The sequence below is a fragment of the Homo sapiens genome, chromosome 4 (genome assembly GCF_000001405.40).
Source record: "Homo sapiens chromosome 4, GRCh38.p14 Primary Assembly".
Lineage (NCBI taxonomy): Eukaryota > Metazoa > Chordata > Mammalia > Primates > Hominidae > Homo > Homo sapiens.
The window spans coordinates 174307913-174333602 of NC_000004.12; the positions used below are offsets into that span (position 1 = coordinate 174307913).

The 25690-nt window shown below is 34.2% G+C and overlaps 1 protein-coding gene across 21 annotated transcripts in view; it reads left to right on the forward strand.

Annotated features, from left to right (window-relative positions):
* The window catches only part of CEP44 (centrosomal protein 44), a 49676-nt gene extending 24207 nt beyond the window's left edge, over window positions 1-25469 (forward strand). For 7 of the 21 annotated variants that reach the window (XM_047416201.1, XM_017008654.2, XM_024454232.2 and 4 more), the window contains 6 exons: window positions 777-947; window positions 1938-2144; window positions 2871-2946; window positions 8254-8378; window positions 8618-8655; window positions 9423-12416. In XM_047416201.1, the coding sequence (XP_047272157.1) occupies window positions 777-947; window positions 1938-2144; window positions 2871-2946; window positions 8254-8378; window positions 8618-8655; window positions 9423-9471 (666 nt within the window). In that variant the 3' untranslated portion in view covers window positions 9472-12416. Of the gene's footprint in view, window positions 1-776; window positions 948-1937; window positions 2145-2870; window positions 2947-8253; window positions 8379-8617; window positions 8656-9422; window positions 12417-23569 lie in introns of those variants that run through there. The other 14 variants (XM_024454229.2, XM_011532285.3, NM_001145314.2 and 11 more) reach the window with 2 other exon arrangements.
* The last annotated feature ends 221 nt before the right edge of the window (window positions 25470-25690 follow it).

Consider the following 25690-nt stretch of genomic DNA (forward strand, 5'->3'; position numbering starts at 1 on the left):
TGTCACGCTTCTCAGAATGACTATTATTAAAAAGTCTAAAAATAACAGATGCTCGTGAGTTTGTGGAAGAAAAGGAACATTTATACACTGTTGGTGGGAGTGTAAGTTAGTTCAACCACCGTGGAAGACAGTGTGGCAATTCCTCAAAGACCTAAAGACCATTTGACCCAGCAGTCCCGTTACTTGGTATATACTTAAGGGAATATAAATTGTTCTGTTGTAAAGATGCATGCATATGTTCATTGCAGCACTATTCACAATAGCAAAGACATGGAATCAAGCTAAATACAATAGCAAAGACATGGAATCAACCTAAATGCCCATCAATGATAGAGCAGATAAAGAAGATGTGGTACATACACACTATGGAATACTCTGTAGCCGTAAAAAATAATGGGATCATGTCCTTTGCAGAGACATGGATGGAGCTGGAGGCCCTTATCCTTAGCATATTAATGCAGAAACAGAAAACCAAATACCACTTGTTCTCACTTGTAAGTGGGAGCTAAATGATGAGATCACATGGACACATAGAGGGAAACAAAACACATTGGAGCCTTTCAGAGGGTGGAGGGTAGGAGGAGGTTCAGGAAAAATAACCAATGGGTACTAGGCTTAATACCTGGGTGATGAAATAATCTGCACAACAAACCCCCATGGCACACATTTACTTGTGTAACAAACCTGCACATGGACCCCTGAACTTAAAAGTTAAAAAATAAATAATTGTGGGAGGAAAACATTGAAGTGTTTCTTACATATTTTTCTCTATGCAGAAGAAAGCTGTGGTGATTCGTCACTTGTATAATGAAGATAATGTTGACATTTCTGAGGATACATTAAGTCCAATAACAGATGTTAATGAAGCAGTTGATGTGTCTGACTTAAATGCTACTGAAATAAAGATGCCTGAAGTAAAGGTTCCTGAAATCAAGGCTGAGCAACAGGTAACAACTTTGGACTTTTTAAATAGATGCCAGTATTTTTTACTTAAATATGTGTAATTATTTCAGCCTCTAAACTTTGGAATATTTCTAGCCTTTTGAATTATTAATCATGACATTTTATCTATGTTACAATTACTGAAGTGTCAATAAGTCTTACTAAAATAATTCAACAAATATTTGCTGCATATGTGTAGGGTGCTGGGCTAAGTGTTGGGGTGATGCAAAGTAGAATAAGATATGGTACTTGGCTTTAAGGAATCTACAATTTAGTGAGACATAGCGATATGCTACTTTGCATAGTGGAGGTTCTCTACCACCTATTTTCTTTATTGGTGAATGGAAAAGATTGGCACTTTATTGCCTATTCATTTTCCTTTCTGGGTCCCTGCTGTTATTTTCTGTCTCTCTTAAAAAACCATTTCTATTACTCTTAATTGCCACAGACCCCAATATGTCTGATCTCTACTGTTTCTGCTAAGACTTCTTTTTCTGTGTTTCTATGTCTTGTGATTTCTATATATCTCAGTATATCAATATACAGTTGGCACTTACAAAAACTACCAGATGGCCATTGGACCTACTTCCTGTTATATGGCAAACCGAACAATCTCAATGCACTAAGTGTTGTTTTTGGTCATTTCCTCTTAGCTTTGTGCTAAGCGTTGTTTCAAGAAGCTAGTTAATAATAGTTTTATTTTACTAGCTGGTATTAAGAGAATCATGCAAATTAACTCATTATCAGAAGAATCATATGAAATAGATACTGCTCTTATCTCTTTTTTTTTAATGAGGAAATGGAGGCATCAAGATCATAAATCTCAGAACTGGTTTAAGTGGCCAAGTAGTCTCCATCCAGAGATAGCTCTCTTAACTCTCAAGCAGGACGGTCTCTCCTAACTGTTGAGATAACGCTGTGGAAGTGAGAATACATTAATTTTAAAGAAATTTCAGTTTGTTTAATTTTATTTTTAATCTCTCTAACCTTTTTAGGATGTAAATGTTAATCCTGAGATTACTGCACTACAAACTATGCTTGCTGAATGCCAAGAAAATCTTAAGAAACTGACTTCGATAGAGAAAAGGTTAGACTGTTTGGAACAAAAAATGAAAGGAAAAGTGATGGTAGATGAAAACACCTGGACTAATCTTCTTAGTCGTGTCACTCTTCTTGAAACAGAAATGCTTTTGTCTAAAAAGGTATTTTCCTCCTTTAACATTTATAAAATATCTCAGATATAACAAAGTTTTTTTTTGATTGTTATATGTGTATTTTTTTGGAAATGCTAAATATGAGAATATTTGAATAATGAGAAAATGTCTAGTTAGAATGAAGTCCTGTTTAAATATAGCCTGTATGTTGTTGTGGCTGTTGTTTCTCTCTTCATTGAATAAGATAATCTGAAAAACTTGTCAGTTGAGCTTTTACAGATGTTAATAATGCTTGAAGAATTTAAAATGAGGTAAGAATATGATAGATATGAAAAGCTTAAAATTATTTTATATCTTTTAATAGTACAAATAACCTATTTTCATAGGGTAGAAAAGATACAGAAGATATAGGTAACTCTTCCCATCTTTTTTTCACTCATTTACTTCAATCATATTGTGAATTTCATAGAATAGTTACCAGATTTACCATTGCCTTATCAAATCTGAGAAATTTGTTTTTTTTTACTCAGGATTTCAATTTCTGGTCTGTCTTTCCTTCCTAGAAGGTGAAGTCAAGTAGCTTGCTATCTGCTTCCATATTTAAAACATTTCTTATATGTAGGAATATGCAGTATATGTATTGCTTTAATAAAAAATTAAAAATATTTAAACATTTATCATGCTACCTTTATATTTTATGCTCAGCATTAAGAATATAAAATGAGAGGGTTTTTCTTTTTATTTCATTCTAAATATTTAACTGTGTTATTCCAGAATGATGAATTTATAGAGTTTAATGAAGTTAGTGAAGACTACGCTTCTTGTAGTGACATGGACCTTCTGAATCCTCGTAAGTTTGTAAATACTATGAGAATTGGTATGATGAGTTTTCAGAAAAATGATTGTTATAGTAATTTTAATATTCTTAAGCTTTATTGTTTAGAAATTGCAAAGCTCCTAGAACAAAGAACATAATGAACCTACAGACTACTAAAGCCAAGAATTGCTTAACTAACCAGCCTACTTATTTCACATAACATAGTGGGTGAATAAATTTCAGTGTACAAAATTGAAAATTTTTAGAGATATTTTACTGTTTTAATCATTCGAGAATAATCAAGTGCTCTAGGATATTAATGTTGGCCTCCAAGTTTTTAAATTTAAGCTTAGGTAGGTAGTAGCTTTCTCATATGTAAATAATAATATGTAAGAGAAGAAAACACATTTGTCAGTATCTATAAAGTATTGCAAACTTCTTCCATGTGAATAGTTCACTGATAATGATAAAATGGGAAAGATCTGATATTAGGATAGGTCTTTTCCTGGTCACTTTACTAGGCTACTGATATTTTGCTTAGTGTGACTGAGCAGCAAGGGTAAGATTTCTGTTTTTCAGTGACAGCTTTGTTTTGATTGTTATGTATTTTTAAAAGATCTAAATTTTGTGCCATATCTATGATTAAATCATAGCTATAGAAGAGATGTTTTGTCCAATTGAGAATTCATCGTTAAGTTAAATTTTTAATATCTGTGGATTGTTAACGTTATAAAATCTTTCAGCTCTACTATATGTGTAACAATAAAATAATATATATTCTAGCACTAACAGTGTGCCTGGCACGATTCTAACTACTATATTAACTCATTTAATTCTTGAAGTAACCATTGCAAGATAAGTACTATTTTTATATTTTACAGTTGAGGAAACTGAAGTACAGCAAAATTAAGTAACTACAGCAAAGGTCACACAGTTATTGAATTGTAGATCAAATTTGAATCCAGGCAACTGATCTGAAGTTTTTTCTTGACTGCTGCATATTTGGAGCACATATCAATATCATTGCACAAAGAACAATTTCAGTGATTAGCTTGTTAAGTATAATTATTTGAGATGCTATTTAAGGCAACTAAATTTATTATAGGCTGCAGATTTCAGATTTGGTAAAATGTTGCCTGTTTTATTTATCCATTCATATATCTATTCAACAAATGTTAATGCTTGAGTATAAGATCCTTGAGAGCAAAAACTTTATCTTATGGTCTGCCTGTCTAGCACACAGAAAGTATGTCGGTGCTTTTATCACCAGTATTTGCATATAGTAGAGTTTAAATATTTATTCACTGAAAGAATATTGAATGCTTGTGATTTGCAAAACATTGCCTTTTTCAAGTTTGATTTTGCATGCTCAGGCTTATTTTTTTTTAATGACATGATTATAGAATATACCTTTAACCTATTTAGAAAACACATGGCTAAGTTTTTTTTTTTTAATTTTTTAATTTTTTTGAGATAAGTGTGGTCTTACTCTGCTGCTCAGGCTGGAGTGCAGTGGTGCAATCATAGCTCACTGCAGTCTCCTAGATGTTAACTCCTTGGCTTAAAGTGATCCTCCTTTCTCAGCCTCCTGAGTAGCTGGGACTACAGGTACGTGCCACCACACCTGGATAATTTTTTATTTATTTACATACTGTTTTTAGTAAAACAAGGTCTTGCTATGTTGCTCAGGCTGGTCTTGAACTCCTGGGCTCAAGCAATCCTCCCATCTCTGCTTCTCAAAGTACTGGGATTACAGGTGTGAGTTAACATGTCCGGGTTCACATAGCTAAATTTCAACAACTGTGCCAGGACTGAAAGTAATTAACAGGCCTCTATCTGAAATGGATTACAGATTATGATTAGGTTGAATACCTGGTCTCATAGAGTTTATGATCTGATCTAGATTAATTAAAAGACTCAAGTTTATAAAGACTTACACATTATACCTTATACATGCTACTTGGAAATAGGGTTTGATTTCATTTGAATGCAGAGAGCAATAATTTACTACTCTGGGTTTAGGATCATATTAAATCAGGAATAGTTTTTGTGAGGTTCCAGATTTGTTTTGCCTTTATCAGGAATACAGTGTTCCATGGGGAATTGTAAGGCACCTTAATGTCTTGGTAAGAGTGAATTAGCAGAGGCTTTTAGGGATTGGACTTGTGTTGGATAATTTTGGAGAGGGTTTGAGGAAGCAAGGGCTACGGGTGCTGTCAGGGAGCAGGAGCAATTTGATGATTGATGGTAAGAATGAAATTTTTAGCATAAAATAAGTACTCATGTTAGGCAAGGGGGGCTATATCTGCTCATTTATGTGGTTACATGGTGCCCTTGTTTTGTCTATGTTCGGACATGAATGGTGGTTTTGGGTGTGTTGTTTCATTATGCTAATGAAGTGACCTCATGTGATGTTCTTTTTCATGAAATTATTTATATTCATTAGAGGGTACAGTAGTTTAGGTGTTAATTGCCAGACAGGGCACCAACTGTTAGTGCTCCTTTTTTATTTGCTTGTTTGTTTCGCTTTGTTTTGTGCCTTTTTTCCCTCAGAGGAAAAAAAAAAAAAAGGTGTGCTACCACAGAAGAGTGTGGTTTGTTCCTGTGTGACTAGCAGGAAGGGTACATGTGAGCACCTGAAGGAAGCTGTAGCAGAAGAGTAGAAAGATCAAGTCATGGAGTTTATCCCAGAGTCGTAGGAAGATTTTCAGCAAGGCTAATATTCTTAGGTTTGTGTTTCACAAAGGTTATCATCAAAGCAGAATAGTGATTTGTTAGGAAAGTAAGATAGGCAAGGATAATTTGAAGAGAATTTTAGTAGTCATTATTTCAGAATAATAATGAGGGTCTCTACTAAGGCAATGATAGTGAGGATAAAGAGCAGGTGATTTATTTGGGAGAAATTTAGATGTTAAAATTGATATGCCTTGATCCTGATAGATACAAAAAGGGTGAAGGAGAGTAAGGAAGGTAACACTGACTACTTGTGTTTGGCTCATGTGATTGGGTAGGTGATTGTTACTCTTTAATAAAATAAAAAATTCAGGAAGAGGAGAAGGTTTGGGAGAAATAATGAGTTCACTTTTGAATATAATAAATTATATATGAAATCCTTAAGACAGAATATCTAGAAATCAGTTGGATACATACATTGGTCCTTGATTTAGAAGTATTGGCTTACAAATTATTAAATGGTAAAGGACCCTACTGATTCCCTTCGTGGAATAAGGTGATAAGCCTCCAAAGATGGCAGTGAAAGATTAGTTGTTACGTGGTAAGAGTTGGGTAGAAGATTTCATGTCCCATACCCCCATAATCTTAGAAGTAGAAGAGTCCCTTTCTTTACAGAGACTTCTTAGCAGTCACTACTGAAGTACATAACAACTGGTGTCAGGGTCCTTGTGTCAGTGGCCATTGCCTTTCCCCTTTCCTTTCCAACCTGAACTCAGTTACCAATTCTTTTCTCAATCCCCTATAGCACAGCTAAGAAACTATTAATGTTTAAACAAGTAAGGCTTTACTAAAGGTTCAGGATAGCAATAAGAAAAAATATAGAAATTAATGTGCAGTTAACTGATCTGGCTATTAAATATAGCTGGTGTTCTGTAATGGTCCACTCTGTAGCCTCTGGAATCCTCTGTAGGAATAACTATGAATAGCCTGCCAGCCTGCCAAATACCAGCTTTCTCCCACCATGAGGCACACTCTTGAATAAGGTTAGACACCGCAAAGTCTGGACCCCAAAATGGAAGACAAAGAGAGCCATTCCTTCACCCTTTATCTGTCTTCCCGGACCTGTTTCCTTTTCCTAGGGCCCCCTCCTCTTTTTGGAAAGATGTCCGAAATGTTCAGGACAACTATCTGTACCCACAGAAAAAAATCCAAGATTTAGTGCATAGTAGATATAGTTCCTGCCTAATTTCAAATTATTTCTTAAAATAACCTCTTGTCCATAGCTCCTACTAAAAGATCTGGGTTTAGGTAGTCTTCAGAATTACACCCTGTAATCTTGACCTCCAGGCTTAGCTAATTGGATTAAGAGTAGACACCTGACCCAGAGAATTCCAGTTCAAAGTGTGATGAGTCAAATTACATTCTCTCTCTTAGCATTTGGAATTAGGACACCACGAGTTAGTTAGTCAAATGATATTGAGCCTGGGCCGGGCTGGCCATGTGGTGGAAGTTTACGCTGATGAGTCAGCAGAGAAAGCCATTCTACAGAGAAGAGCTGAGGGATGGAGCAAATGGCAGAAGTAGGCAAAAGAGACTGTGGCTCTATGAGAGATAAAAATTAGTCTTCTAGTTGTTTCAGTTCTCAGTGGTAATAGTTTGTTCCCCAATTAAGGTTGTCTGTGTAGGCTTACAATAAAGCTCTCTTTATGTGAACCAATTTAAATGGGTGTCTAATTTTTTTTTTTTTTTGCATTGCTTTTGCAGCCAAATGTATTCTGACTGAAACACAGGGTTTGTAGGATTTATTACATTATCCGTAATCTTCTCTAATTGATATTTTTGTAGGGGAGATGCCATCATTTTGTCAAATTAATATTATCAGGATATTTGAAATGTTAGGTTTTTCCGTTTTTTAGAAAAAGAAATCTGTGGATCTTAAATTTTTGCATTACTTATTTTCATATATGTCAAATCAAGTTAGAATGTTTCTTGATTTTTAAAAGATATATATGGTCAGTTATAGTAATAGTTGTCACTTGCCACAGAACAGTAGTAAAAAAATTTGTGAAATGCTTAAATGTTGCTGAATAAAAGCATCATGACAAATTCATGGATACTAATTATTTAATGTAAATATCACCATTTTAAGAAAAGAATACGGTGAAACCCTGTCTCTACTAAAAATACAAAAAATTAGCCGGGCGTGGTAGCTGGCGCCTGTAGTCCCAGCTACTCGGGAGGCTGAGGCAGGAGAATGGCGTGAACCCGGGAGGCGGAGCTTGCAGTGAGCCGAGATCGCGCCACTGCACTCCTGCCTGGGCGACAGAGCGAGACTCCGTCTCAAAAAAAAAAAAAAAAAAAGAAAAGAATATACATGATTGATTCAATAGGTTATATTTTAAAATAAATTATTAACTTACCTGTTTATTCAAACTGATTGCTATCATGATAATAATACTGCCTTTTGTAATTTTTATTGGGCAATTTTTAACATCTAGATCTCCATATGAAAGCTGTTACCTTAAGAGTACTAAAAACTCTTTGATCTATGCGGATAGCCATTTTTAATTAAAATAGTATGTTTTTCTTCCATCTGTAAATAATATTTTTAGATATTTGACTCTTCTGTGAAAGGAAAAGGTAATCTAAAACTTAATTTCTTCACAGACAGAAAAAGCGAAGTAGAGAGGCCAGCAAGTATTCCTCTGTCCTCTGGCTATAGTACAGCATCATCAGATTCAACTCCCAGAGCCTCTACTGTTAATTACTGTGGTTTGAATGAGATTTCAGAGGTAAGAAAATGCTTAGATTATTTCCTTTCTAAATGAGGAAAACAAGCAAGCATTAGCTTTTGTTGTAAATATTGCTAGCAAGAAAAATAGCAAACGCGAATCTTAGTCTCTCAAAATTCTTTCATAAGTAAACAGTACTTAATGCAATGTTTCAAACTGTGTTTTGTACATTCTCGGTCCATCTTTGATGATGGTTTACTTTGAGAAATCATCTAAATTTGTTGCTTTTTAAATTAAAGGAAACAACAATCCAGAAAATGGAAAGGATGAAAAAAATGTAAGTAACAGAAAGGGGCAACAGAAATTCATTTCTCTATAGGGAATTGTATTGGATTACAGTATATATAGAATGTGCATGTGTGTTTCAAACCTTAAAGGTCTCTCAATCAGGTGTGGAATTTCCTTCAGGACTCCACTGGATAATAAATCCACCTACAGTTATGTGTTTGTGAGATGAGTCACTGTTTTAGTTTCCAACAAGCGATTTAAAACTTGTTGGAATTGTTAATGGAATTAACTGCAGAGAGAATACAAAGATATTTTTGGTTGGTAACTAATCAAGAGTATTATCTATTTTTGATAACTGATTTATCAAAATATTAAATAATATATATAGATGGATGGTTTGGAGACATTTTCAGTGTTGTGAAAATATCACTGGTGTTTTTCGGCAAGTTATTGATGAGATACTAAAAATGATGTTTTTGTCTAGTACAAATGGTGTGATTTTTCTAAAGAGCAGTTCAAAGGAAATATGAAATGAAATTGCATATAAGATGATTATGCAGCCTACTACTATAGAAAATTATAATATTATTTAGAAATGCAAAAAGTACTTAACTTACACTTCAAGAATATGACTCATAATCGACTCCTCTTTGTCTTCCCTCTGGTCATACTTAAGTTTATTCATAGTAACTGTACTTATAGATAAGAAAAATATTCAAATTTATTTTAGGCTAAAAAGCATAATTTCAACAACTAAAATGCTATGCTTTATTATGAATTATTGATTTACTTAATATATTATTTATTATATTTCAGGTTTGAAGAAACTGCAGAGTTACTGAAATGTCCAAATCACTACTTGTAGGATTTTCTACATGAACTTTTTTCTAGGACTTTGGTTACTATACATATTGTATATTTTAAGAATTCTTTATACAATTTTAATATACTGCAATACTGCAGTTTTTGACAATTTGGATTCCATTTGGTATATGAATTTTTGCATTCATTATTGAATAACTCTTTTAATATTTTTGAGCAATGATTATACTGCTTTACCTTGTGTCACTTTTTTTTTTTTTAGGAAAAACTCATGTTCCAGTATATTTCTCTTACAGAGTGAAGTCATTACAGCACTGTATTTCTGTGTTGACATTTGTTGGCAGTGTGCTAAGTAATGTTTTTTAAAGCACAGGCTTGAGGACTATGGTTTACATCCTGTTGGAAACATTCCAAATGGGACTTGTGTATTATACCCAGGAGGCTCTCATATATACCATCTTGGCATCTGTACTGATGAATAAGTTATAATGAACAGTTAAAAATGCTCATTGAAAATTAAATAAAACAAAAAGGCAGTTATTTCATGCTTGGTCAAAAACATCAATACCTTTCCAATTAACACTGAGAAATTAAGGTTAAGATTCTCCTTTTGTACTGGGAAACAGGCTGGAGGACTATGGTCCTCAAGTTTAGACCAAGAGGACTATGGTCTCAAGGTTCACCATGAGAAATGTGTTGAACATTTTAGTATGCTCTATTGTATAATTTTTTTGGAGGGGGGGATGGAGTTTCGCTGTTGTTGCCCAGGCTGGAGTGCAATAGCACGATCTTGGCTCACCGCAACCTCTGCCTACCGGGTTCAAGTGATTCTTGTGCCTCAGCCTCCTGAGTAGCTGGGATTATAGGCATGCACCACCATGCCCAGCTAATTTTGTATTTTTATTAGAGACAGGGTTTCTCCGTGTTGGTCAGGCTGGTCTCAAACTCCTGACCTCAGGTGATCTGCCTGTCTTGGCCTCCGGCGTAACACTTTTTAAGACCAGTGTAACAGAAAGAGAATGTAGCCATTCTAGCCACCGTTAAAAGATACACAGTGAGGTGTTGTGTTTTGTTTTTTTAATGATGAAAAGTTACACATTTTTTGGAGAGAAAAGTCTTAGCTGAAGGTAAATCAATGGAAAAATGAAATTTATTTTTAATATTACTACTATATGAATTATCTTTTTTTAAACTTGTAGATAAAAGTGTTCCAGTAATCAGAAAATCCTCAAGAAAATTGACTTCATTATTTGGAAGGAAAATTAGTATTTTTTTTAATATTATATGGACCATCTGATTATATTTTATTTATTCATCTATTTATGGTATGTATGTATAATTCTATATTACACTGTCAAATATAAAATATTGTTATATGAGTAGAAATCACTTAAATTTTTTTTGTGTTTGTGAATTTGAAACAGTGTAAGAAATCACTTTTAAGAAAACATTTTTAGAATTCCTTTGTTTTTTTTTTTTTTCTTTTTGAAACAGGGTCTCACTCTATTGCCCAGGCTGGAGTGCACTGGCGTGATCTCGGCTCACTGCACCTTCTGCCTACCGAGTTCAAGCGATTCTTGTGCTTCAGCCTCCTGAGTAGCTGGGACTATAGGCCTGTACCGTCATGCCTGGCTAATTTTTGTATTTTTGTAGAGACAGGGTTTCACCATGTTGCCCAGTCTGTTCTCAAACTCGTGAGCTAAAGCTACTCGCCCACCTGGATGTCCCAAAGTGCTAGATTCCATGGGTGAGTCACCATGCTTGGCCACATTTTTAGTATTCTAATAAACAGTTGGTCATCAGAACTTTAAAATGGTAGCCTACAGAAACATACAATTTTGAATTTAACAGAGTTTCAGTAAATATTTCCAGAATTAATGAAGCATGTTAGCTTTAATTTTTTCAATTGTGAGAGAAGTACATTTATAAAAATTAAGAGGTTAAGAGGTTATAGTTATAAGGGAAAAAACTTCTGTATCGATTAACTCCTAAAATATCAGTACCAGCATGGAATTATAGCACCACCTTGTGGTTAACATGCCAGTATTTTACCTTTTGTTAAAACAAGTGATTTCCCATCAAACAGGATAATATTTTTTCCCTTTTGAAAAATTCAATTTTAAAAAGAAACATTTTTGAAGTTTTCTTATGGAAGATAGAAAAAAAGTTAAGTCTCTTTCTACCCTTTCTTTTTTTCTTTATATAGTGCAGATATACACACAGAGAAGGGACTTAAAACATTTCTAATCTCCTAGTTTATATACAGTGTGCAAAATATAAGTAAGTATATATTGAAAATATAAAATATTTCATATATGTTATCAGGTGGAAATTTAGAATCCAAATTTTCTTAAACTTTAATAACTTGTCTAACAACTCTCTAATAGGGACTAAAAATCAACTCAATATATCATACATTTACACTTACAAAGAGTCTTTATCTAGACAACATAATTTTTGGAAAAATAAAGCAAATTCAACTTTATTGGAGTTATTGGACAGATCAGCAAATTGTTATTTTAAAAAGTTTTCTTGTTTAGGCAATTTGGTAAGTGGTTTCTAGTTATAAACTAGCCACTGTTGATTAACTTGAGAAGGTGAAGCAGGGGAGTTCTGAAGAGATTACCTAGAGCTACATAACCCTAAGTTAAGTAAAATTTTCACTTTCATTCTTTTCATTCTCTCATAAACTGGTTGAAAAAACACTGTACTACCAACAAAGGTGTCAGTTGCTTGTGCTGCCCTGTCTATGTTATGCTCTGAATAGGTCTCGGTAAAGATTATATGGAAATACTATAAAGAATACATAAGGTAAAATACTAGTCAGAAAGGGTTCAGAAGAAGTTAGCATCAACTGTATGAAAATTCTAGGTAAAGCTAAGTACTATTGAGTTGGAAAAAAGTAATTCTATCATGTTTGCTTGTTTTCCTCTACTGTTTTTAATGTGATGTTGTAATATATTTTAAAAATAAAACTTGAAAACGTTGGGACTTTGTTTCATGCCATTCATTACTCATAACTTTATATAATTGATACACTCTTCAGGAAGCATAAAAATTAATATAACCTTCTCAATTTTATAAACTACAACACTTTTTGAGCTCAAATAACATTGTAACTTTGATTTTTACTTTTTAACAGTCCCCAGGTTTGTCTCCTTTCTTTGAAACTGAAGGCATCAAACTGATCAGCGTGGAAGGAAGTGATGTTTATCTTAAGTCCTAAAGAGTGAACAGAATATAGCCAGGGAAGATGGTTTACGCAAAAGGACTAGCATAAACAAAGGCTTGAAAGGAAGAGCATTTGAAAGAAATTCACTAGGGCTAGCATACTGAGTGTGCTCTGTGTGTGTGTGTGTGTGTATGTGTGTGTGTGTGGCTAGAGGTCAGTTGACACAGGCCCAAGGGGCAGCTTGTATCTTATTTACTGAACCATTTAAGCAGCAGAATATGATAACCAGATCTGAGTTTTTGAAGGATTTATTTTACCGCTTTAATATGGAGAATGGGTAAGGGGGCAAAACTAGAGGCAGAGAAATCAGTGGGAGACTATTACAGTAATCGAAGAAACATAGTAAGAGTGACTTGAATTATGATGACAGTGGAGATGGAGGGAAATAATGGGATTTGGAGCAAATGTAGTACTTCCAGTTTAAGGACTATCTTCAATCTAGTATCTGGACTGAGAGATAGCAAAAAGATACTACACTAGTGTTTAATCTGTTATCTTGCCTAATTGGTTCCGTCTGGAATCTTGTTAGAAGTGCAAAATCTCAAGCCCTGCTCTTGACCTACTTACTACATTAGATTCTTCATTACACAAAGAACCCAAAGACATTTGTAGGTACTTTAAGTTCAAGAAATATTAGTTTACATTCACATACTTCTTGTTTTATTATCATAACTAACATTTGAATCTAAGCCTTCAAATTCAGATTCTCCGGAATTGCTTTTATCTAAATATATACAGCTTCTTGCAATTCACATTTAGTATCTTGGCCTCCTTAGCACCTTTGGTTAGCGTTTTAGGGTTTTGAGTGCATTTAGTTAAATGATTTTTTTTCCTCAGTCAAATAATATATAAATAGGAATTAAAACATCCTTTCTTCAAAATTAGGTGTAAGCTTTGTACAAATAACTTGTTTGGTCCTCATCAATAATGATTCTTTACTAAGCATGCACAATTCATACCATTAGCCTCCATCTTTGAAATATCTGTGTTTATGTTGAAAAATTTCCTAGTTTTTTACTTTTAATTATGTTGCCCAAAGTACAACAGGCAATATTCTGCATACATATTTGTTTTTCTCTATTATGTCATAGGGTGACTTTTCTGAAGATATGGAAAGCAATTATTAGAGATCCATGTTTCACATTTAATTTAAAATTCAGTATTATATGGTCTTACAAACTTTTTCTGAAAATCATTTGTCAAGGAAATCTCATTTGAGTAGTAAAATGAAGTAAATGAAGGAGTAAAAAAAGCATCTTAAGTTTAAGAAAATACAATATTTAGAAAGCAGTTTCCATAGATGAATTAGGTGCAAAGAGAGCGAGAGGAGAGGAAAACAGAAACCACTAGGAGTTCTTAAACTTTACCCAATCAATATGTATCTTGCTTCAGATTTGCCATCTTCTGTTTAAGTAAGCTTTGATTTACTGGGTAAGAATCTGATTATTGTTTTTAAATTCTGATCATTGTTTGTTGATATTCACACTAGGACATTTAAAACAACACCACAGCTGAGGACTTTTAAATGAAGATCAGTAACAAACATCAAAATGTTTAAAATTTATTTATTTTTTCACACTGCCATGAGAAAGTAGAAAAATGTTTAAAGTTTAAAAGCATTTCAGTATTCCAATTATCCTCTCAATTTCGCACCATTTTTTAAAATCATCATTCTCTTCCACCTTCACTTTTTATATACTATGCTTTTCCACTTTCTGAATGTGCTGGGCTTTCCATGACTTTACAAATGCTCTTCCATCACCTAAAATGTTCATTTGTTCTCCACTCTTCATTTCCTATCCTCTGCACCACATTGGCTGGTAGAATTCTACTCATCATAGGGGCTTCAGATTAAACATAACTCCCTCCAAATAATGCCCCCTAGGTCCCTAGAATAGTTTAGATTCCCTGTTTATGCTATGAAAAGCACCCTGTAATTTTTCTTCATTTCGGTTTGTACATTATAAACCTACTATTTGCAATTGTTGCTCAAGGTTGTCCTCCCTGCGAAACTATGAGTGTTATGTGAAAAGAGATCCTGAATTTTGTTTACTGATGTATTCTCCATGCTTAGCACAATGCTTGGTACATAGGACATTCTCATTTTATTTTGTGGCTTGACAAACAATTAAGATGTCCTCCCATCCCCCATATTATGATAGAATTCAAATTTTGTAAGCAACTGTTAGCTGATTTTTAAATTCAATATCTGAAATTAATTTCATTTTAATGTCAACTTTATTGTTATACTACATTTCTGTATTTGGTCACATATTTAAATGTAGAATATAGTATGTAGCATTAATGCCCAAGTTGGTAACTTTTAAAATAGTTTCTCCATACTTTAAGCACTGATATTTTTGAGCCTAAATGTGAGATTTTCCTAATAAAAAGGTGAGGAAATTTAATGATATTTTTGAAAAGTTACTCAAAAAAGTACACAGGTCTCATTTAAAGCACTAAAAGGCAGCAAATTTTTAGAGAAAATGATATTTCTGTTTGCGGCAATATGGCATACAAGGTATTAAAAAATATAAAAAACTCCTGCAACAAATCATCAAACATTCTTGAAAAAAATATAATAAATATTTATCACAGATATCACAGGAAATTAAAAGAAATCCCTAAAGGCCAAAAGAAGAGGAAGCAGAAATTCAGAGTATTATGCTTGCCTGAAGCAGCAGCTGCCCTGAGAGATTGTTGATATTAGAAACTAAGGCCTTGAGAGGTTTTCCCCCCTCATGTTTCTGCATCAGCGTTTATTGTGTTATAATTTACATACGATAAAATTCACCAATTTCAGTCATACATTCATATAGCCACCACCATATTTAAGATATAGAACATGCCTCTTTGCAGTCATTCCTCTGATACCAAACCAGGCACATTCTGCCCATCCTGCAGTAAGCCAATCACTGAGACAATGAGTTTTGCAGTGGAGAAAAGATTTTATTCATGAGGCAGCCAAGTGAGGAGGTGGGATAACACCCCTCAAATTCTCCTCCTTGAAGTTGGGGCATTAGGGATATTTGTGGGATAAAGGAGCAAGGCAGTCCAATGCATGGAAAAAGTTAATTGGTGGTAAGGAAAAGTGAGGTAATTGCTGATCTGTGCGAGTGCAGTTAAGCTTCATGGCTTTTCATAGGATCCACGTTCGCAAGATGGTGTCGTTGGCACAATCTGAGGGTGGAGTTTTTGGCCTTCTGATGTCAAAAGGGCACTCATTGGGCATTCATACAGGCCATTGGAGGCTCAGTGGAGTCAGCTTGAACTGGACAAGAGCTGATCCTAATTTCCTGAAAAACAAGCAACTATTAATTACTATGGTGACCTGTACATCAGAGATGTTATCTATAAGGAAACTAGTGGAAGTTTAGTTACATATTGCTTAGTTGCATTGACTTTTCGCTATGTAGGTTTTAAAATCAACTAGAAGCAAGCGACTACAAACAAGGCAAGTTAAGTTTGATAGGCCTAATTAGGTTAGCCCTGGGTTTCACCTTGTCCTTCAGCAACCACTGATTTGCATTCCATCATTTTAATGTTGCTGTTGCTAGAGTTTTATATTAATATCATCATACCATATTTAGTCTTTTGTGTCTGGCTTCTTCCATGTAGCATAATGCTTCTGAGATTCATCCATGTTGTTGTATGTAGTAGTTCATTCCTTTATATGGCCAATGAATATTTCAGTGTGCTAACATACCACAATTTCATCAGTTGATGGACATTGTGATATGTCCAGTTTGGAGGTATTCCATTTTATAAATCTGCTATGAACACTGGAACATGTGTCTCTGGACACATGTTTTTACCTCTCTTGGGTAAATGCCTAGGAGTGGGATGGCTGGGTCAAATAGTAAAGTTATGATTAAGTTTATGAAAAACTGCCAAACTCTTTTCCAAACTGGCTGGCCCATTTGCTTTTCCCACTAGCAATGTATGAGAGTTTCAGTTGCTCAGCATCCATACCAACACTTGATTTTGTCAGTCTTCTAGTGGACGTGTGTGGTGTAAACCAAAAGTTAAGGCTCAATGTTATGTACTGTCTTGACATCTGGTAAACTGAGAAGGTTTCAAATGGCCTAACCAGAGGATCCCCTCCTCACTCTCCTTCCATGGATAAGGTACCCTAGCCAAACAACCACTCCTTAACAGAGGGACCAGACACTTACCCCTGAGTAGCAGGGTTTCAGTTCCATGCCAGCTGTGAAATTGTTCCAAGAAACCAATCATATATTCCTGTGGGAACCAGGGGATGTCTCACCCTCTTCATATTACAAAGTCTGCCTCCCACATCTCCCAGCTGTTCTCTGTTCCCAAATTCAACCCCCATAGAGCAGGCAGTGTCCTCCCCTATAAGCTGTGAGTACATATGACTAATAAGCTGTTATCAGTTTCATCTGCGTTGTGCTGGGTTTTGTGTTGGGCCTTCCCATAACCCTAGGTGGGAATTCCTCCCTCACCAACATGGTGAATGGGGGGTGATTAAAACAGTGTGTAATGGTCTCTCATCGTAGTTTTAGCTTACATTTGTCCAAAATGTTGAGCATAAAGTATTTATTTGCCATTAGTATATCTTCTTTGGTGAAGAGTCTATTCAAAGATATTCCCAATTGTATTTAGGTTGTTTGTCTTCCTGTTGGGTTGTAAAGGGCCTCTATTGAACAGTTTTGCAAAGATTTTCCCCCACTCTGTGGTTTCTCGTTCATTTCATTAACAGTGTTTTTTAAGGAGCAGAAGTTTTAAATTTTTATAACATCCATTTATAAATTTATTCATCACTGAGAGAGGGGTGTAGCCATGTACAGTCACTCATGCCTGTAATTCCAGCACTTTGGGAGGCTGAGGTAGGAGAATCATTTGAGGCCAGAAGTTCAAGACCAGCCTGGTCAATATAGCCAGATCCTGTCTCTACAAAAATTTTTTTAAATTAGCCAAGCATAGTGGTATGCACCTGTAGTCCTAGCTACTCGAGAGGCTGAGGTGGGAAGATAACTTGAGCTGAGGAGGTTGTGGCTTCAGTGAGCTATGAATATATCACTGCACTCCAGCCTGGGTGACAGAGCAAGACCCTGTCTCTAAAAATAAGAAAAAGAGAGGTGTTGAAGTCTCCAACTAGAACTGTAGATGAAGACTAAAAAACTTTTATTTTTTCTTTCAGTTCTATCATGTATTTTTAAACCTGTTTTTAAATGCATAAACATTTAGGACTGCTATTTCTTCATGATAAAGAGACTTATTTCTTATTATGAGTTGGCCCTCTTTATCTCTGGTAATATTCTCTCCTGATATCTATGTTGTCTGACAGCTATTCCAGATTTCTCTTAGGAAGTGTTACTACAGTATTTATTTCCCATCTTTTTACTTTTAATGTATCTGAGTCTGTGCATTTAAAGTGGGTTTCCTGAAGATAACGTAATTTGGTCTTGCTCTTTTATCAAATCTAAAAATCTCTGGAATGTTTAGATTATTTACATTTAACTTGATTATGGATATGGTTCAAATCTACCACCTTCTTATATTTGTTTTCTGTTTTTATCATTTGTTCTTAGCTGCTTTTTTGCCTCTTTTCCTGAATTATTTTTCACTGGATATTTTTTAATGTTTTTTATTTTTTTCTTGGCTTATGAAGTATCCTGTGTGTGTATGTGTGTGTGTGTGTCTGTGTGTGTGTCTGTGTGTTTGCTCCAAGATTTGTAGTATATATATTTAACTTACTATAAGCTACTGTCAAATATTATACTACTCATTTTTCAGTATATATATTTAACTTAATATAGGCTACCTTCAAATATTATACTACTCATTTTAAGTATAACATAAGAGCCTTACGATAATATACTTTTCATTCTTTCTGCGCCCGCCAAGCCTTTTTTTGTCAAACATTGACTTCTACATATGTTATAAACTGCAAAACATTATCATTACTTTTGCTATAAGCAATCCATTATCTTTTTAAAAGGTTTAAATAATTTTTTAAAAGTCTTTTATATGTGCCAACCTATTTACCATTTCCAGTGCTATTTATTCTTTCATGTAGATCCACATTTCTTCTTGATATAATTTTCCTTCTGCCTGAAGGGTTTCCTTTAACTTTTCTTGTAATACTAGTTGCTGGTGATGAATTCTGGAAAAGTCTTTATTTCACCTTCATTTTCAAATGAAGGATACAATTTTAGGTGAATAGGGATTTTTGGTTTTTTTGTTTGTTGTTTTTCATTCTTTTCAGTAATTTAAAGATGGCCCTCCATGGTCTTTTGGTTTGCATTGTTTCTGATGAGAAATCTACTGTTATTTTTATCTTTGTTTCTTTATGGAATCTGTCTTTTTTTACTTTGTCTGCTTTGCTACATTTGAGATTTCTCATTACCACTGATTTTCAGCAATTAGAAGAGCTATGTAGAAAAACCAAAATAAACTACAGACAGTTTTTTAGAATTAATAGAATTTGGCACATTTTTAGATATGAGATCAATATATCCAAACCAATTTTACTTCTAGATAGGAGCCATAAGTGGACATTTACATATATATGTATATATATATCTACATATATATATAAGTAGTATGTGTGTATACGTGTGTGTGTGTATATATATGTATATATATATTTAGAGAGAGAGAGAGAGAGAAAAAACAGATAAATGGTATCAAAAAAACAAACGTAATAAAATATGTGCATGAACTTTATGTAGAAAATTATTAAACTTATATAAATTAAAAACAAAATATTAAAGAAAACCTAAATAAATGGGTAGACATACCATCTTCGTGTTAGGAAGACTCAATACAGATTAATTCTTACCCAGATTATAATTTTAATTCAAGTAATCTCAAAGTCTTGACAGTTTTTTTTCCCCCAGAGTCTAAGATTATACATATTAAAGAAGAGAAAAATAGAAAAGGTAGCTAAGACAACTTTGAGGAAGAAAAACAGGGTGGGGGATTTGTCTTATATTTAAAATTATTTCCTAATTGTAGCAATTATAACAATAATTAAATTTTTTATAGCAATTGTTGTAGGGCAAATAGGCTAATTGAAGAGTACAGAGCCCCCAAACAGACTCTACAGAATATGATGTATGACAAATACTGTATTACTGACTGTAGTGGGGAATGGATAGATTATTCAGTAAAAAGTTCTAGGAATACCTGGCTATTTATATGGACGGGGTGTGTGTGTGGTGAATTTAGTCTTGTTTCACACCATTCACAATCATTTTCAGGTAGATTAAAGACATAAATGTGAAAAGAGAAATGAAAGGACTGTAAACAGTAATATCAATACCACCTACAAGCTAAATCTGCATTTTGAAAACTTTTCAGGTGATTATATGAATATTAAAGTTGGAGAAACACTGGTAAAGGAGATTTATCTTTATAACTTTGGGTGGGAAAATAGTTTTTAAAAAACACAAAATGCACAAACCATAAGAGAAAAAATAAATTTGATATTAAAATTAAATACTTCAACTACTAGCTAAAAGATAGCCTTTTCCCAGAAGTTGTCCCAAATAGGTGTCAGAAAGCTTAACTTAAACTGGCTTAAGCATGAAAGGGGATCAATTGGCTCATTAATCTGATGACCAAGGGGGAACTGTAGACAATCCAGAACCCAACATTTCCACCAAGAAGTAGGAAAAGGAGAAAACATCTAAGTTGTGGCCATGTGGCCGTTCCAGTCCCAAAGGGCTGACTGGTTGGATAACGGAAAGAAAGGAAGAGGATATTGCTGTTTTGAGTAGATGATGGTTACCTAGAATGTTGGCAGTAGTCCAGAAGATAACTCAATATAGATAAGGAACTTTTGCTAGTTTTTCTAAGAAATAAATTTTGTATTTCCATAGTAACTATCAGAAGAGACTGGAATTGATACAGTGATTTGTACTTGAATGAAAAGCTGCCTCGTAGAATTCCAGGAGGAAGCCAATATCTCGAACAGTGCAATTATAAGACAGTGTTTGAAATGCTGGAGGAAGCTTCAGTCAAAGCCAGGCCTACCTATGGACTTTTCAGTTCCATGAAGCATTGATTAGAGTCTTATGGTGTATCCAGAAAATTGTCTGTAATTTTTAGGAGCAACTCAAACTTATTTCTTTCATTTTTTTTCCGTCATGGCAAAGAATTTCTCAACAAATATGATTTTTTAACCATAACACTTTGACATATATAAAAGATATTGTTAATTTACAACTCAGGCTAATTAAATTCTGCATAGAAGTTATCAATTATGCTTAACTTTTCAAGCCTAAATCATCCTTTAACAATATAAATTAAAATAGGTTTCTATTCTGAAATTACATAGAAAAACTTATGATAAACCATTAACATTTAAGATCAGTGTGTACAAGAGTAATGGCAATACTTTTCCTTTTCTTTTTTTTCTTTTAAGACAGAGTCTTTTTCTGTCACCCAGGCAGGAGTACAGTGGCACAATCATAGCTCATTGCAACCTAGAACCCCTTGGCTCAAGCAATCCTCCCACAGCAGCCACGTGAGTAGCCAGAACTACAGATGTGTGCCACTGCACCTGGATTTTTTTTTATTGGTATTTTTTCGGATTTGGGATCTCACTATGCTGCCCAGGCTAGTCTCAGACTCCTGGCCTCAAGCAATCTTCCTACCTCATCCTCTGAAAGTGTTGAGATTACAGGTATGAGCCACCAAGCTGGCCCTATACTTTTCCATTTTATTAGGAAGATGATTCAGGATGAATAGGAAAATATCATGGGAAAGCCCTTTGCTCAAACACAGACACACACACAGACACACACACACACACACATTTTAATAGGAGTTAATTATAAGAATTTTTAGAAAAGTTGTTAGCACTTTCCCTCTTAGTACAGTTTTAAGTTGGTTTTACATTGTAAATGTTAAGGAAACGTGTTTAAATTGTTTTGATATGCCTTCAAAGTTATAAAAGTTATAAAGTTGTCAATGTTGAAATATATTTGGTATTTTAGCATTATCTTGCTTCCAGGATAATGTTCTCACACTTTATAGCTTGAAGAATGTACTTTACTCATGGGAACTAAAAATGTTATGCTTTGAGAAACCAAAGGGGAAAAGTTCAAAAGGTACTTCATAACTTTTTTTTTTAGGTTTAGAGAAAGGATAAGACTGTTTGGATTATGTTCTTCTCTAATTTAGTTAAAAAAATATTAATGAATATATGTTAACCTTCAGGCTATCATCATTCTTTCTCAAGATAGATTTATGGTAAAAATAGACTACTGAACTGTCTTGTTAAATTTTTAAAGATGAGTTTGGATGAGTTGCAAATAACATCCTCTACCCTTAGGTCAAAAAGAATATGTAAACCAAAATATTTTAGATAGGAATACTTATTATAGTTTCAACTTTCATACTTCGTATTAAAATGATTGTATAAGAAAATACAATATTTTTAATGTTTTTATTCAGAATATGTTCTGAATTTGTAACACATGTTCATTTTTTAATTGTTCAAAGTAACACACATTCATTTTATTGTCATTAAAATTTTCTTTAAAAGTCAAAGATCAAGTTGTACCCAGAAATAAACTTTGTTAATATTTTGACGTATCTTATTTTCTTATTTTTTCTATTTATATTTATGTAGATTTTGTGTTTATTAAAAATGAAGATTGGCTGGGTGCAGTGGCTCACGCCTGTAATCCCAGCACTTTGGGAGGCCGAAGTGGGTGGATCACCCGAGCTCAGGAGTTCAAGACCAGCCTGGCCAACATGGCGAAACCCCGTCTCTACTAAAAATACAAAAATTAGCCAGGCATGGTGGCGCGTGCCTGTAATCCCAGCTACTAGTGGGGCTGAGGCAGGAGGATCACTTGAACCTGGAAGGTGGAGGTTGCAGTGAGCCGAGGTCATACCACTACACTCTAGCCTGGGCAACAGAGTGAGACTTCGTCTCAAAAAAAAAAAAAAAAATTATGTGATACATGTAATTTTTATTCTTTTCATGGAAATCATGAATATTTTCCATATCATTAAATATATTTTCAAATGCAAAATATGGATTTTAATAACTACAAAATATTCTTTCCTAGAAGTTCAACAAACATTTAATCTTTTATGTGCCAGGCATAACACCATAATCTTTTTTATTATAGCATGTGTTTTTTTAATTAAAAAGAAGCATTTCAAAACATTTTCTTAATATACTTCTCTCCAGGGATTATGCCAAGTATGCACATGAAAGCCTGTTTCTCTTTGATCAAGGGAGCTAGAGGCAACTCATAATCTAATAGTCAGGGGTTCTCAGAATTCATTCTCAACCTCTTTATTAACCTACTAAAAATATTTACCATAATCTTTTAAATCATTTTCCTATTGCATATTTTGCTGGTTTATAAAGTTCGTTAATATAAAAAGTACCATGGTAAACATATCTACATGTAAATCTTTGATGATATGTATTATTATTTTAGGATGTGCTTTCAGGATATGCAGTGGTTAAGGCACTTGATATCTACTGATGTCTTTACACCCATAAAAGGTATACTTTTCTATAGGAATTGTTGTTTAAGTGTATGCTCATCACAATGGAGTATTTTCATTTTTAATTAGTACGTAAATTAGATCTCATAATTATGTTACCAATTTTTTAATTAAAGTAAGACAATTGCATAGATTTCTTATTGCCATCACTCCTCACCAATGAGAAAAAAAAAAAAACTCTGAACATTTAGCTGTTTATTCTGGTATCTAACAACATATTTCTAAATAATATGATTGTCATTTCTCTTTGTTTGCTTGGTCTTCTTTAGGCATTATTTTCAGAGTACCTATTATGGAAGAGGAGGAAATATTAATAGCACTCTGACACTGCTCTAATTCCTATCTACCCATTCTGCCAATGCATTTAGATCATATTTTAATGTATAATTTTGTGTTTCCTTTCTAGAATTTTCCTGCATGGAGTGCTACATCCTCTTGTTCCAGTCTCAGCTGGCTGCTCCGTGGGCATACTTCATACCTTTCATCACAGAGCTTTGCTTGGCCTCTCTCCTGTGTGTAATCTCTGTTTCTTGGATCCTGTGCTTACCTTTTCCTGCTGTACTCTGATGTTTCAGTGAAGCTCATCCACGAAGTCCAGAATTCTGCCTGGAAACCAGCTTCCTCCTCAGCTCCAGCTCTTTTAATGGGCATATCAAAACTGATGACTTTTTCCTTCCTGCTACATGGGTAACACTTAGTTGTTTGTCTAATTTCTATTTTCCAGAAATTTCTCAAAATGTCTGCTGATAGCCCCTCACTCATATTTTTCATGTGGGTTTATAGCTTTCATATTTCTTTATTATTGTAAATGGGGGCTGTGGAAGGTGAGAAAACACATGCTTTCTTAAAACAGAAGCTCTCTCCTTCATTAATTTAAATATTTTTATCGGCTCTAGAAAATGCATAAGGTTAGTACAAGATCAGTAGAGAGAAAGTCAAAGATTACAGAAGTGCTGAAGCAGACCATTCTTCCTTTCTTCCCAATGTCTATTAAGATCACACATAGGTAAACTGTTACAAATCCAGAATGGTGAAAGAGTCCAACAATGGCTGAGGGAAGTAGAGGTTAAGATATAGCTCAACAGTGAAAGTAGCAGGGAAAGAGCTGGGCAAGGCCAAGACCATCTTTTGTACCGTTGGTACAGTAGGCTAAAGGTACGGTGTTCCATATTAAATACAGCAATATGAAGAAAAATAAATTAAGTCCCTTATACCTAAGACCTCTATTTCTCTGTTGATTACATACACAGTGGCAATGGAAAGAAGGGAAAATAATGGGGATAGCATTTGCTCATTCTCTGACCATGCAACACTGGCAGCATTCTATACTTATTCTATTAACTGCATCAACCACATCTTATAAAACACATTTCCATAGGCCATATGTAATAGGCCTTGGCTTTATTCATTGCATTTATTGGCTCCTTAAATTGACAACATATAATTGTTTTCATATAATTTTCATCAAATAAAATTCACTTTAATTTGTATGAACATATTTAAAGTGGAAAGTATCTTCCCAAATGGTCCATATCTTAAAGTGTCAGATATTTTATGGGCTTCACATCTGAACTGCCAGAGATCTCAGGCATAGCATGCATTAATCACAACCACTTACTGACCTGGTTCAGATACTTACTCAATACATGGGGCTAGACACAGAGTGTGCCTTAGGCTAAAGAAAAAATTATTCAAGTTGAGCATATCCATAAACTCTGGCTCAAGCAGTGTATTTTGGGGGTAATAAACACAAGTTTGTTCCTAGTTGGAGGGATATGATGCTTAGGTTTGAACCTGTTAACCTTCCTGGGTTTGAGGGCTAGAAAACGTGGAGACATTCCTTTCTAACTAACACATTTTCTAATAGAAACAATCCACCAGGATGTTGAGCCCACATTTTAAGAGTTCTTCGGAATTTACTGAAAATGGAAAACTGATTACATTGGGCACATAGGACATTTATATTTATAGAAACATTTTAGATAAGACAAGAATTTTAAAAGCCAGAAATCACTTTTAGTGGGCATTTTCAGAAAAATGTTGTCAACTTTTTGTAATTTTTAATAGGCATAAAAAAGATTGTTATATTGATATTGACAGAAATTAGGTGGTTAATTAGAGAGCGTAAAAGGATGAATTGCTCTAACATTGGTTTAGAATTTTTCTTTATATGATTCAATTTTGTGGTCTGGCAAAGGCCCAATAGTCATTTATCTAGTATGCATACCTTTCCACAGCTGGATTTTCAAATATGATGATAAAGTTCATATGACAGACCTATTCTGAAAATAAATATGTCAGCAGGCTTTGCTTTATTTTATGCATTTATTCTGGATATAACATAACTTGGTACAAACACAGAATACAATTTAAGACATTTTGCCAGAGCTCTTCAAGTATAGCATCGTTTGAGATTGTGGAAGGTGATTTAGAAACACCTGGGTTGAGTATTTATATCCCAGCCTTAAATCCTAAAAGCCTTGCCGTTTTATAGTCCTTTCGGGGAAATACAGGAACTACATTAATA